Below are 13,989 nucleotides of genomic sequence, written 5' to 3' on the forward strand. Positions count from 1 at the left end.
TAACTACTCTCCTTTTGAGAGACAGTTCTTGGCCAGTTACTGGGCTTTGGTGGTAACTGAATGTTTGACTATGGGTCATCAAGTCACCATATGACCTGAACTGCCTGTTATGAGCTGGGTACTTTCTTATCCATCTAGCCATAAAGTGGATCATGCACAGCAGCATTCTATCATCAAATGGAAGTGGTACATACATCATCAGGCTCAAGCAGGTCCTAAAGGCACAAGTAAGTTACATGAAGAAGTGGCTCAAATGCCCATAGTCTCCACTCCTGCCATCCTGCCTTCTCTCCCCCAGCCTGTACCAATGGCCTCATGGGGAGTTTCCTATGATCAGTTGACAGAGGAAGAGAAGACTAGGGCCTGGCTCATAGATGGTTCTGCACGATATGCAGGCGCTACCCGAAAGTGGACAGCTGCAGCACTACAGCCCCTTTGTAGGACATCCCTGAAGGATAGTGGTGAAGGGAAATCTTCCCAATGGGCAGAACTTTGAGTAGTGCATCTGGCTGTGCACTTTGCATGGAAGGAGAAATGGCCAAATGTGTGATAATATACTGATTCACGGACTGTAGCCAATGATTTGGCTGAATGGTCAGGTATTTGGAAGAAGCATGATTGGAAAATTGATGACAAATTTGGGGAACAGGTATGTGGATGGACCTCTCTGAGTGGTCAAGAACAGTGAAGATATTTGTATCCCATGTGAGTGCTCACCAACGGGTCATCTCAGCAGAGGAGGATTTTAATAATCAAGTAGATAGGATGACCCATTCTGTGGACACCACTTGGCCTCTTTCCCCAGCCACCCCTGTCATCACCCAAGGGGCCCATGAACAAAGTGGCCATGGTGGCAGGGATGGAGGTCATGCATGGGCTCAGCAACATAGGCTTCCACTCACCAAGGCTGACCTGGCTACAGACACTGCTGAGTGCCCAATTTGCCAACAACAGAGACCAACACTGAGCCCTCAATATGGCACCCAACGGCAGTGGTTTGTCCTCACTGGAATAGATACTTACTCCAGATATGGGTTTGCCTATCCTGCACGCAATGCTTCTGGCAAGACTACCATCCGTGAACTCACAGAATGCCTTATCCACTATCATGGTATTCCACACAGCATTACCTTTAACCAAGGCACTCACTTTATGGCTAAAGAAGTGTGGCAGTGGGCCCATGCTCTTCGAATTCACTGGTCTTACCATGTTCCTCATCATCCTGAAGCAGCTAGATTGATAGAACAGTGCAATGGCCTTTTGAAGTCACAATTACAATGCCAACTAAGTGACAATACTTTGCAGGGCTGGGGCAAAATTCTCCAGAAGGCCGTGTATGCTCTGAATCAGTGTTCAATATATGGTACTCTTTCTCCCATAGCCAGGATTCATGGGTCCAGGAATCAAGGGGTGGAAGTAGAAGTGGCATCACTTACCATCACCCGTAGTGATCCACTAGCAAAATTTTTGCTTCCTGTTCCCACGACATTACGTTCTGCTGGCCTAGAAGCCTTAATTCCAGAGGGAGGAATGCTGCCACCAGGAGACACAACAACCATTCCATTAAACGGGAAGTTAAGATTGCCACGTGGACACTTTGGGCTCCTCCTACCTTTAAGGTAACAGGCTAAGAAGGGAGTTACAGTGTTGGCTGGGGTGATTGACCTGAACTATCAAGATGAAATCAGTCTACTAATCCACAACGAAGATAAGGAAGAGTATGCATGGAATACAGGAGATCCATTAGGGCATCCCTTGGTATTACCATGCACTATGATTAAGGTCAATGGGTAACTGCAACAACCCAATCCAGGCAGGACTACAAATGGCCCAGACCCCTCAGGAATGAAGGTTTGGGTCACTCCACCAGGAAAAAAACCATGACCTGCTGAGGTGCTTGCTGAAGGCAAAGGGAATACAGAATGGGTAGTAAAAGAAGGTAGTCATCAATACCAGCTACGACCACGTGACCAGCTGCAGAAATGGGGACTGTAATTGTCATGGGCATTTCCTTCTTCTTTTGCAAAAAACATGTTTGTGCAAGTATACATTTTTACTGAGAAAATATCTTTATTTTATTTCCTTTTCCTTTATCATGTGACATAAGATTTTACTTCATATCAGCATTTACATATTGTTAACTTTGTGTAATAGTATTTGGGTTGGGGATTGGTGCATTTCCGGTTGTATGAAGGATAGCTGTATTATATTAGGTGTAATTATGACCTTATTATTGTCTTTATTTGAAGATATGTATGATCTCAGGAGGTGTGTATGTGTTCAAGTTGACAAGGGGTGGACTTGTGATGGTTAATACTGAGTGTCAACTTGATTGGATTGAAAGATACAAAGTATTAATACTGGGTGTGTCTGTGTGGGTGTTGCCAAAAGAGATAAACATTTGAGTCAGTGGGCTGGGAAAGGCAGACCCATCCTTAATCTGGTGGGCACAATCTAATCAGCTGCCAGTGAATATAAAACAGGCAGAAAAATATGAAAAGGAGAGACTGGCTTAGCCTCCCAGGCTGCATCTTTCTCCCATGCTGGATGCTTCCTGCCCTCAGACATCGGACTCCAAGTTCTTCAGCTTTGGGACTCGAACTGACTCTCCTTGCTCCTCAGCTTGCAGACAGCCTATTGTGGGACCTTGCAATTGTGTAAGTTAATACTTAATAAACTCCCCTGTACATGTATCCTATTAGACATATAACATGTATATATACACACACTATTAGTTCTGTCCCTCTAGAGAACCCTGACTAATACAAATGGGAAAGAAGTGGTGACCTCTAAGGGCAGATGACCAAAGTTGGAAGAGGAGGTTCTGAAAAAGCCCGTGTGAGCAGACAGCACTGAGGACAAAACGCCCCTCCCTGCCTCACCCCTATCCAATGCTTGGCAATATGCAAGCCCCCTAGAATTGGGACACCACTAAAAACCCTTGGGCTATGGCTCTAATGCCACAGGGCCCTTCTGGATCCCTAGGATTGCGGACAAGACTTTTTGGGGCAAAGGGAAGAACCATTGTGCTGAGAAGAGGTTGAAATGCTTTCTATTTCAGTATTTAGTTGTCGTTTCTCCCAGGTGGTAGCTCCTACTAAGGGCACTGCAAGCCTATGAAAGGGTTCAGGACACACTTCCCCAAAATATGGCACCTGGCATTTGAGAAAATAGCAGAAGCAGGAAGGTCACTCTCACTTTCCCCTTGCCCTTCTCCCATGAAGCAGGTCATAAAACCTTCATTCCACGGTGCGCTCCCTAAACCAAGAGGAAAGCAACATCCTTATCACTGAAGATACAGGGACACAGAGAAGAATCTGAACAAACAGGTCTCTCTAAGTTTCCCCCAGTTAATTACCATTAGATCATACCCTCTTTGTTCAATCATACTTCTGCATGACTGTCCACCCTTCATCAACCCTAAGCATAAAAATATATGGGCTTCTCTATTTCTTTGGGTCTTCATTTCTGGACACTCCCATGTCACATAAAACTTAAATCAATGTGTACGCTTTTATCTTGTTGATCAGTCTTTTGTTATAAATGCTTCAGCCATGAACCTAGCAATGAGTGAGAAAAGAAACCTTTCCTCTCCTACAGATGCTTCTCTGGCTTTGCTTGTAGAAAAAGCAAGAATCTCATGGTGGTCCCTACCTATAAGGAGCCTACACTTAGTACAGAGGAGGCCAAGGTGGGCTGGGGGTTGGGGATGTCTTGGACAACAGAAGGAACAGAAGTGGGAATGCTGTGTCCTGCAGAAGTGTGGGCTCGGCCAATGCCTGCACTTTTCCTGCATCAGGCTGCCAAGATCTGGGAGGAAAGGCAGATGGGATAGAGGCCTTACAAGGCCTGACCCAGAGGGGGAATGACCATCTGGTGTGTCTAGGCAGATTGGCCTTTGGACTTCTCCAGTAACATCTTGGCATTCTATTCCAGTGGGTCCCAAGCCATATGAGATTTAGATGTTACAAATTGCCTTCCAGTGTGGACAACCTGCAGAAGGGAACAGAACAGGTTTTAATGGTGATCTGTGCAAACCTGTGGCCAATCACAGAGAGCATGACAGATGTTCTAGTAGATGCCTGCACAGGCTTATGACATTGAGAACCACCTAGGACTTTCATAACATGCAATAACATGTAGGGCAAGGACACAAAAGTGACAGAAATTAAATCTCTATCACCCTGAGGAACATGGGGGCCACATATAGAAATGGAATTACAGAGAACTAAAGAGTTCTATATGTTTTTATTTCATATACACATGAATGTGTGGTGTTAGATTTGTACAAACTGTCAAAAGCTGGCTCCCCAAATACCACAGAATCTGTCAATAAGACAAATGAGTCATTGTCAATAAGACAGATGAGTTCATCTCAACGCAGTAAGAGAAAGCCACCTTTGACTTGGCAGTGTCTCAGAGGGGAAAAGGTAAGGTAAAAATTGATTGAGAATTAGAAGCTTGGTTTAAGGCAGGTCTTACAATGTGGGACTTGATTAGGATTGGGTAATCATGATCCAACAGTACAGGATTGGTGGAAATAGCAAGACGAGAGATTCAAAGAATCTTGTCTTTGATGCTTTCTATTGAAGATTTAGTTGATGACGAATTTAAATAATTTTTTTTTTGAGACAGAGTCTCATTCTGTTGTCCAGTGTGTGATCTCGGCTCACTGCAACCTCTGCCTCCCAGGTTCAAGCGATTCTCCTGCCTCGGCCTCTCAAGTAGCTGGGATTACAGGCACATGCCACCACACCTAGCTAATTTTTTTTTTTTTTTTTTTTTTTTTAGAGATGGGGTTTCACTGTGTTGGCTAGGCTGGTCTTGAACTCCTGACCTCAGGTGATCCGCTCCCAAAGTGCTGGGATTAGAGGCATGAGCCACCACGCGCAGCGGAATTTGAAGAATTTTTACAGGAAATTTCTGTAATGGACAACGAAAGCTTTTCCTTGGGCTGGAGGATACCATCAAAGTAAAGTCATGCTAATGAAGATATGTTAAAGATTTGCTAATGAAGGTAGGGAAATCCTGTTAACTAGATTGTAAGGCAGGTTTGGGTTCTAAGTATCCAGGCTGAGTATGGGAGCCAGTGGGTTCTGTTCTCACTACTATATCCCCATTTTACATTTAGGAGACCTTGGGTTCAGACCCCTCTGAATTTGTAACGTGTTCGAAGTTACTTGTAACTTTGAAGTAACTTGTTCAAAGTCACAAATCTAGTCAGATGAAATAGTACAGTGGTTAAGAGCATGGGTTCTGGAATTAAACTGTTTGGGATCTTATGCAAGTTTAGAAAGTTACTTAATTACTCTGTGCCTCAGTCTTATCATCCATAAAATGGGGGTTCTAATGGTAGCTAGCACATAGAATTGTGATGAGAATTAAATGCATTAACACCTGAAAAGCGTTTAGCACAGGCTCTGACATTGTGCTCCAAAAATGACAGCTAGCAGTAGTAATAGTTGCACAATAGTAAAAGTGGTAGTAGTAATAATAATAAGTGTAGACCAGGGTTTGAACCAGTTTTGTTGGACTCCAGTGCAGAATTGGCTACAGAATTTGCCCAGTGCAAAATTAAAATGCAGGACCTTGTGTCCAAAAGTTATCAAGAATTTCAAGGGAGCAACAGTAGTGCATTAAATTAAACATAGGATCCTTCTAAACATCCAGCCCTGTACGCATGCACAAGTCACATGCCCATGAAACTGGCTCTGCTCCAGGGCACTTTCAAGGAAAATCTATTATCCTCTTAACTAGTGTTAAATAAAATCTATGGGAGCCCACTAATTTGGACTGAGCTGCTGCATTAGGCCCCAACATATGAACCCAAGATGGAGTCACCTGTGCTAAGATTCCATGTCACCAAACTGAAACCTAACCTGTTTACTTGTAAGATCTGACCTTCCTTGGGCGTGATGGCTCACACCTATAATCCCAGCACTTTGGGAGGCCAAGGCAGGTGGATTGCCTCAGCTCAAGAGTTTCATGCGCGTCCGTGTAAAGAGACCACCAAACAGGCTTTGTATGAGCAACATGGCTGTTTATTTCACCTGGGTGCAGGCGGGCTGAGTCCGAAAAGAGAGTCAGCGAAGGGAGATAGGGTGGGGCCGTTTTATAAGATTTGGGCAGGTAAAGGAAAATTACAGCCAAAGGGGGTTTGTTCTTTGGCGGGCAGGAGTGGGGGTCACAAGGTACTCAGTGGGGGAGCTTTTGAGCCAGGATGAACCAGGAGAAGGAATTTCACAAGACAATGTCATCAGTTAAGGCAGGAACAGGCCATTTTCACTTCTTTTGTGGTGGAATGTCATCAGTTAAGGCAGGAACTGGCCATCTGGATGTGTACTTGCAGGTCACGGGGATATGATGGCTTAGCTTGGGCTCAGAGGCCTGACATTCCTGTCTTCTTATATTAATAAGAAAAATAAAATGAAACAGTGGTAAAGTGTTGGGACGGTGAAAATTTTTTTGGGGTGGTATGGAGAGATAATGGGCGATGTTTCTCACGGCTGCTTCGAGCGGGATTAGGGGCGGCGTGGGAACCTAGAGTGGGAGAGATTAAGCTGAAGGAAGATTTTGTGGTAAGGGGTGATATCGTGGGGTTGTTAGAAGAAACATTTGTCATTTAGAATTATTGGTGATGGCCTGGATACAGTTTTGTGTGAATTGAAAAACTAAACGGAATAAGAGAAGGAGAAAAACAGGTATTAAAGGACTAAGAATTGGGAGGACCTAGGACATCTAATTAGGAAGTGCCTAAGGAGGTTCAGCATAATCCTGTCAGCTAAGATTATTTATTTACTTCAAGAGTTAAGAGTGGCAGTTTGGGGATAGCACCAGGAAATATCAGCTGTGATGGCTTGGAGAAACAGTGTAAACCGGCAGTGTAAACAAGAGCAGGGCATGTATGAGTAGTTGAGAAGGGTGAATAGGAGTATGACTACAGAGAAGATAGGAGGGATGACAAGTTTTTTTGGGGCACAGTCTAAGTTAGTCTGGTGTCTGGAATGAGACTGGGGCCTACTAAAAAAGAGCATCTATACAAGAGCTCAAATGGGCTGTACCCTGTAGCATTCCAAGGACAGGTCTGACTTCTGAGAAGGGAAAGTGGTAAAAGTATTCTCCAGTCCTTTTTAAGTTGGTGGCTGAGCTTTGTGAGGTGTGTTTTTAAAAGACCTTTAGTCCGTTCTACTTTTCCTGAAGATGGAGGACCGTAAGGGATATAAAGGTTTCACTGAATACTAAGAGCCTGAAAAACTGCTTGGCTGATTTGACTAATAAAGGCTGGTCTGTTATCAGACTGTATAGAGGTGGGAAGGCTAAACTGAGGAATTATGTCTGACAGAAGGGAAGAAATGACCGTGGTGGCCATCTCAGACCCTGTAGGAAAGGCCTCTACCTATCCAGTGAAAGTGTTTACCTAGACTAAGAGGTATTTTAGTTATCTGACTCGGGGCATGTTGAGTAAAGCTAATTTGCCAGTCCTGGGTGGGGGCAAATCCTCGAGCTTGATGTGTAGGGAAGGGAGGGGGCCTGAATAATCCCTGAGGAGTAGTAGAATAGCAGATGGAACACTGAGAAGTTATTTCCTTGAGGATAGATTTCCACGATGGAAAGAAAATGAGAAGTTCTAAGAGGTGAGCTAGTGGCTTGTACTATAGCATAGCCTGCCTTTGCTGGTGTGTGGCTATTAGGCCTGGTGGAACTGCCATCAATAGATAAGCATGATCAGGGTGAGGAACAGGAAAGAAGGAAATATGGGGAAATGGGGTGAATGTCAGGTGGATCAGAGAGGTACAGTCATGAGGCTCAGGTGTGGTATCCAGAATAATGTGGGAGGCCGGATTGAAGTCCGGGCCAGGAACAATGGTAATTGTGGGACTTAAAGAGTGAGTACAGCTGAAGGAGCCAGGGAGCAGAAAGTATATGCATCAGGTATGAGGAAGAAAATAGATTTTGGAAGTTATGAGAAATGTAGAGAGTAAGTTGAGCATAGTTTGTGATTTTGAGGGCCTCTAAAAGTATTAGGGCCTTTAAAAGTATTAGGGCGGCAGCAGCCACTGCACGCAGACATGAGGGCTAGGCTAAAACAGTAAGGTCAAGTTGTTTGCACAGAAAGGCTACAGAGTGAGGTCCTGGCTCTTGTGTAAGAATTCTGACCACACTAACCATGCCTAGGAGGAAAGGATTTGTTGTTTTGTAAGGGATTGAGGTTTGAGAGATTAATCGGACACGATCAGCAGGGAGAGCACGTGTGTTTTTATGAGAATTATGCTGAGATAGGTAACAGATAAGGAAGAAATTTGGGCTTGACTGAAGTAATGGGGGCTGTCTGTGAAGCTCTGTGGCAGTACGGCCCAGGTAATTTGCTGAGCCTGATGGGTGTCAGGGTCAGTCCAAGTGAAAGTGAAGAGAGGCTGGGATGACAGGTGCAAAGGAATAGTAAAGAAAGCATGTTTGAGATCCAGAACAGAATAATGGATTGTGGAGGAAGGTATTGAGGATAGGAGAGTATATGGGTTTGGCATCATGGGGTGGATAGGCAAAACAATTTGGTTGATAAGGCATAGATCCTGAACTAACTTGTAAGGCTAGTCTGGTTTTAGGACAGGTAAAATGGGGGAATTGTAAGGAAAGTTTATAGGCTTTAAAAGGCCATGCTGTAGCAGGCAAGTGATAGCAGGCTTTAAACCTTTCAAAGCATGCTGCGGGATGGGATATTGGCATTGATCAGGGTAAGGGTGATTAGGTTTTAATGAGATAGTAAGGGGTGCATGATCGGTCGCCAAGGAGGGAGTAGAGGTATCTTATACTTGTGGGTTAAGGTGGGGGAATACAAGAGGAAGACACAAAGGAGGCTTTGGATTGGGAAGAAGGGTGGCAATGAGATGCAGCTGTAATCCAGGAATAGTCAGGGAAGCAGATAATTTAGTTAAAGTGTCTCGGCCTAATAAGGGAACTGGGCAGGTGGGGATAACTAAAAAGGAGTGCTTAAAAGAGTATTCTCTAAGTTGGCACCACAGTTGGGGAGTTTTAAGAGGTTTAGAAGCCTGACTGTCAATACCCACAACAGTTATGGAGGCAAGGGAAACAGGCCCTTGAAAATAAGGTAATGTGGAGTGGGTAGCCTCCGTATTGATTAAGAAGGGGACGGGCTCACCTTCCACTGTGAGAGTTACCCGAAGCTCGGCGTCCATGATGGTCTAGGGGGCTTCCGAGGCGATCGGGCAGTGTCAGTCTTCAGCCGCTAAGCCGAGAAGGAGTCAGTCAGAGAGCCTTGGGCCAGAGTTCCAGGGACCCTGGGAGTGGCTGCCAGGTGAGTTGAACAGTCCGATTTCCAGTGGGGTCCCACACAGATGGGACATGACTTAGGAGGAATCCTGGGCTGCAGGCATTCCTTGGCCTGGTGGTCAGATTTCTGGCACTTGTAGCAAGCTCCTGGGGGAGGAGGTTTTGGAGGAACGCCTGTCTGCTGCGGTTCAGGCATTTGGAAGTTCTTGTGTGCTGGAGATGTGGCTGGGGTTTGTCTCACAGTGGAGGCAAGGAATTGCAACTTTTTTCTATTGTACACCTTGAAGGCGAGGTTAATTAAATCCTGTTGTGGTGTTTGAGGGCCAGAATTTAATTTTTGGAGTTTTATTTAATGTAGGGAGCAGATTGGGTAATAAAATGTATATTGAGAATAAGACGGCCTTTTGACGTTTTAGGGTCTAGGGCTGTAAAGCGTCTGTCTCAGCGTTGCTGCCGAACGAGCCATGAACTGGGCTGGGTTTTTTATATTTGATGAAAAAGAGCCTAAACGCTATCTGATTTGGGATAAAGAAAAAGGAGCATTAACCTTGACTATGCCTTTAGCTCCAGCCACCTTTTTAAGAGTAAATTGCTGGGCAGGTTGGGGAGGGCTAGTCACGGAACGAAACTGTAAGCCGGACCAGGTGTGAGGAGGGGAGGTGATAAAAGGATTATAGGGTGGAGGAGTGGAGGCTGAGGAAGAATTGGGACCTAGCTCAGCCTGGCCAGGAGGGGAGAGGTCAGATAGGTCTGTAGAAAAGGAAGATTAGAAAGACTCAGTGACGCTTGGGGTTGGGACTGAGGGGACAGGTGGGAGGGAAAGAAGGAAGACTTGGGATGAGTTGCATTGGGCACAGAGACTAGGAAGGGACCGATGTGTAAAAGAATGCCTGGACATCAGGCACCTCAGACCGTTTGCCTATTTTACAACAAGAATTATTTAGATCTTGCAGGATGGAAACATTGAAAGTGCCATTTTCTGGCTATTTGGAACTACTGTGGAGTTTGTATTGGGGTCAAGCGGCATTGCAGAAGAAAATAAGACGCTTAGATTTTAGGTCAGGTGAGAGTTGAAGAGGTTTTAAGTTCTTAAGAACACAGGCTAAGGGAGAAGAAGGAGGAATGGAGGGTGGAAGGTTGCCCATAGTGAAGGAGGCAAGTTTAAAGAAAAGGGAGAGTAGAGACATGGAAGGAAGCGGTTCGGGGGTTCTTACCCTCCAGAAAAGCGGGAAAGGGGTCAGGGCGCAGAGATACAAGGTCAGGGCATGGAAATAAGGGATCAGGGCACAGAGATATAAGAGGTTGGGGCATGGAAATAAGGGATTGGGGCACAGAGATATAAGAGGTCGGGGCATGGAAATAACGGATTGGGGCACAGAGATAAGAGGTCAGGGTGTGGAAATAAGGGATTGGGGCACAGAGATATAAGAGGTTGGGGTGTGGAAATAAGGGATTGGGGTGCAGAGATACAAGGTTGGGGTACTTGCCCCTCCTCTAGAAAAGCAGGACTTGCCGCTAAGAGTGAAGGAGAAGGGGTTGGGGGTTTCTTGCCCCCCAGAAAGGTGGAGAAGGGGTAGAGACACGGAGAGAAGGGGTTGGGGTACTTGCCCCTCCCCCAGAAAAGTGGGACTTGCCGCGAAGGGTGAAGGACCAAGGCAGGCGTCCCTGCGTGGTCTGACACCTCTGAAACATGGGTGAATAATCAGAGAGGTGTCCCTGCAATGATTAAACACCAAGGGAAGGCTGCCTTCCCAGTCCGTGACCAGCGCCAGAGTTTTGGGTCCACGGATAAAACATGTCTCCTTTGTCTCTACCAGAAAATGAAAGGAATTGAAATTAAGAGAAGGGAGAGATTGAAGTGTGGTGCCAAGATTGAAAGGAGAAAGAGGTTGAGGGATAATGAGAGAGGTTGGAGAAGAGAGTAAAAAGAGGCCACTTACCGGATTTGAAATTGGTGAGATGTCTCTTGGGCTGGTCGGTTTGAGGACCTGAGGTCGTAGGTGGATCTTTCTCATGGAGCAAAGAGCAGGAGGACAGGGGATTGATCTCCCAAGGGAGGTCCCCCGATCCGAGTCACAGCACCAAATTTCATGCGCGTCCGTGTGAAGAGACCGCCAAACAGGCTTTGTGTGAGCAACATGGCTGTTTATTTCACCTGGGTGCAGGCGGGCTGAGTCCAAAAAGAGAGTCAGCGAAGGGAGATAGGGGTGGGGCCGTTTTATAAGATTTGGGCAGGTAAAGGAAAATTACAGTCAAAGGGGGTTTGTTCTCTGGTGAGCAGGAGTGGGGGTCACAGGGTGCTCAGTGGGGGAGCTTTTGAGCCAGGATTAACCAGGAGAAGTAATTTCACAAGACAATGTCATCAGTTAAGGCAGGAACAGGCCATTTTCACTTCTTTTGTGGTGGAATGTCATCAGTTAAGGCAGGAACTGGCCATCTGGATGTGTACGTGCAGGTCACAGGGGATATGATGGCTCAGCTTGGGCTCAGAGGCCTGACAAAGAGTTTGACATCAGCCTGGGCAACATGGTGAAACCGTGTCTCTATAAAAAATACAAAAAAATTAGCTGAGCATGGTGATGCACACCTGTAGTCCCAGCTCCTTGGGGGACTGAGGTGGGAGGATCACTTGAGCTGGGGAGGTTGAGGCTGCAGTGAGCCAAAATTGTGCCACTGCACTACAGCCTGGACAACAGAGTGAGACCTGTCTCCTCTGATCCCCGCAAAAAAAAAAAAAAAAAAAAAAAAAAAGAGAGAAAAAGATAAAGATCTGACTTTCCCAGAAATCAGGGGAGAGATGATAGCCAAATCCCTAAACAGGCCCGTTTTCCAAAATAAATAAATAAATAAACAGGAGATTCACAGCAACTAATAGAAAGGGACCCAGTCAATCTGAGCCAGCATGATAAGAAAATTCCTTCTGCTTTACCCCATATGAAGAAAGAAACCTGAAGTAATCTGATGTTAACCAATCCACTTTTTGCACCATTCTGTTTCATTGTTTCTGCTCAAGCTACCTCACAAAAATCAATGTCTTGCCATGCTCCTTGGAGCTCCTATTTTGTAGAATGGATGCTGCCCAGTTCATGAATTGTTAATAAAAGCCAATTAGATCTTTAAAACTCAATTTGCTAAAATTTTGCTCTTTGACAGTAGCACTACATTGTACCAACCTGCTCCTCCATATTACAACTACCATCTGAGAAGTTTGGAACCCCAACAGAAGGTTGCTTTCCTGCAAAAATATAGCTGTTTTACCAACACAGATTTTATAAGATTTGAAACTACTGTACCAGGTTAAGTTGCACAAAGTAGCACTTATCCATGGCCTTTCAGACAATCTCTTATGTGAAAGGTTACAGAGAGATTGGAATGGTCTTAGCACCTACCACATGTCCTAAAGACACACCAAACTTAAACTAGTGTTTCATTGAAAACCATATTATGGGCCAGGTACGGTGGCTCACGCCTGTTATCCCAGCATTTTGGGAGGCCAAGGCGGGCCGATCACAAGGTCAGGAGATAGAGACCATCCTGACCAACATGGGAAAATCTGTCTCTACGAAAAATACAAAAATTAGCTGGGCGTGGTGGGGCATGCCTGTAATCCCAGCTACTCAAGAGGCTGAGGCAGGAGATTCACTTGAACCAGGGAGTCAGAGGTTGTAGTGAGCCAAGATCGCACCACTGCACTCCAGCCTGGTGACAGAGTGAGACTCCGTCTAAAAAAAAAAAGAAAAAGAAAACCATATTATGTAGCTGGGCATGATGGCTCATGCCTGTAATCCCAAAACTCTGGGAGACTGAAGTGGGAGGATGGTTTGAGGCTAGGAGTTCAAGACCAGCCTGAGCAACATAGCAAGACCTCCATCTCTACAAAATTAAAATTAAAAAATTAGCTGTGCTTAGTGGTGTGTTCCTGTAGTCCCAGCTACTCAAGAGGCTAAGGCAGGAGGATCACTTGAGCCCAGGAATTCAAGGCTGCAGTGAGCCATGATGGTGCCACTGAATTGTGGTTTGAGTGACAGAATGAAACCCTGACTCTTAAAAAAAAAAATTGTATTATGGCTGCCTCTGGTCAGTAGAATTGTGGGTGAATTAAAATTTTTTCTACATATTTTCCTGTAGTTTCAATTTTTTAAGCAATTTAACATGGGTTGATTTGAGATTAAAAATTATGTTAAACATTTTCTGTTTTACAAATCAGATCATTCCAGCATGGTACAGCTATTCTGGAAAGGAAAGAGCTTATGTATCTATCTCCATATAGAGCTTGAAATGCTTCAAGAATATTTTCTGTTGAGTCTATAGTTGGATGCTTAGGACTTTGATACTGAGAAATCCTGGGTACAGAGAGAATAGAATCAACTTTGAAGTTAATGTAGTGAGCTTATCTAGTTCTGCTGGGACAAAGCAGAAGAGAATGTTTTATTTGGTACAAGCCATTAATAAGAGAAAACAAAGCAAAACAACTGGAGGTAACTAGAAGGTAACACAAAAAGTTAGTGTTTGATTTTGACATCAAACGCTTCCCTGGACATTCAAGACTTTATGCAACCACTTTCCAACCCTGGCATTACTGGGAAAGAAAATTTCAAATGCTATTTTATAGCACTGGATCTGACAAAGACTCTTCCATCAAAACGTCAGTCAAGCTTCTGCAAGCCCTTTGCTTGACTAGGCCAGACTTTGGGCTTCCCT

The 13,989-nt window shown here is 44.9% G+C and overlaps 2 annotated features.

Annotated features, from left to right (window-relative positions):
- Positions 5,833-6,348: an enhancer, noted in NCBI's record as "OCT4-NANOG-H3K27ac-H3K4me1 hESC enhancer chr6:110176827-110177342 (GRCh37/hg19 assembly coordinates)". NCBI's record gives its function as "activates a minimal SCP1, AML or CMV promoter by ChIP-STARR-seq in naive and primed H9 embryonic stem cells {active_cell/tissue: H9 hESC(naive and primed)}" and the evidence as "EXISTENCE:reporter gene assay evidence [ECO:0000049][PMID:30033119]".
- Positions 6,349-6,864: an enhancer, noted in NCBI's record as "OCT4-NANOG-H3K27ac hESC enhancer chr6:110177343-110177858 (GRCh37/hg19 assembly coordinates)". NCBI's record gives its function as "activates a minimal SCP1, AML or CMV promoter by ChIP-STARR-seq in naive H9 embryonic stem cells {active_cell/tissue: H9 hESC(naive)}" and the evidence as "EXISTENCE:reporter gene assay evidence [ECO:0000049][PMID:30033119]".

Source organism: Homo sapiens, chromosome 6, assembly GCF_000001405.40.
Source record: "Homo sapiens chromosome 6, GRCh38.p14 Primary Assembly".
Taxonomy (NCBI): Eukaryota; Metazoa; Chordata; class Mammalia; order Primates; family Hominidae; genus Homo; species Homo sapiens.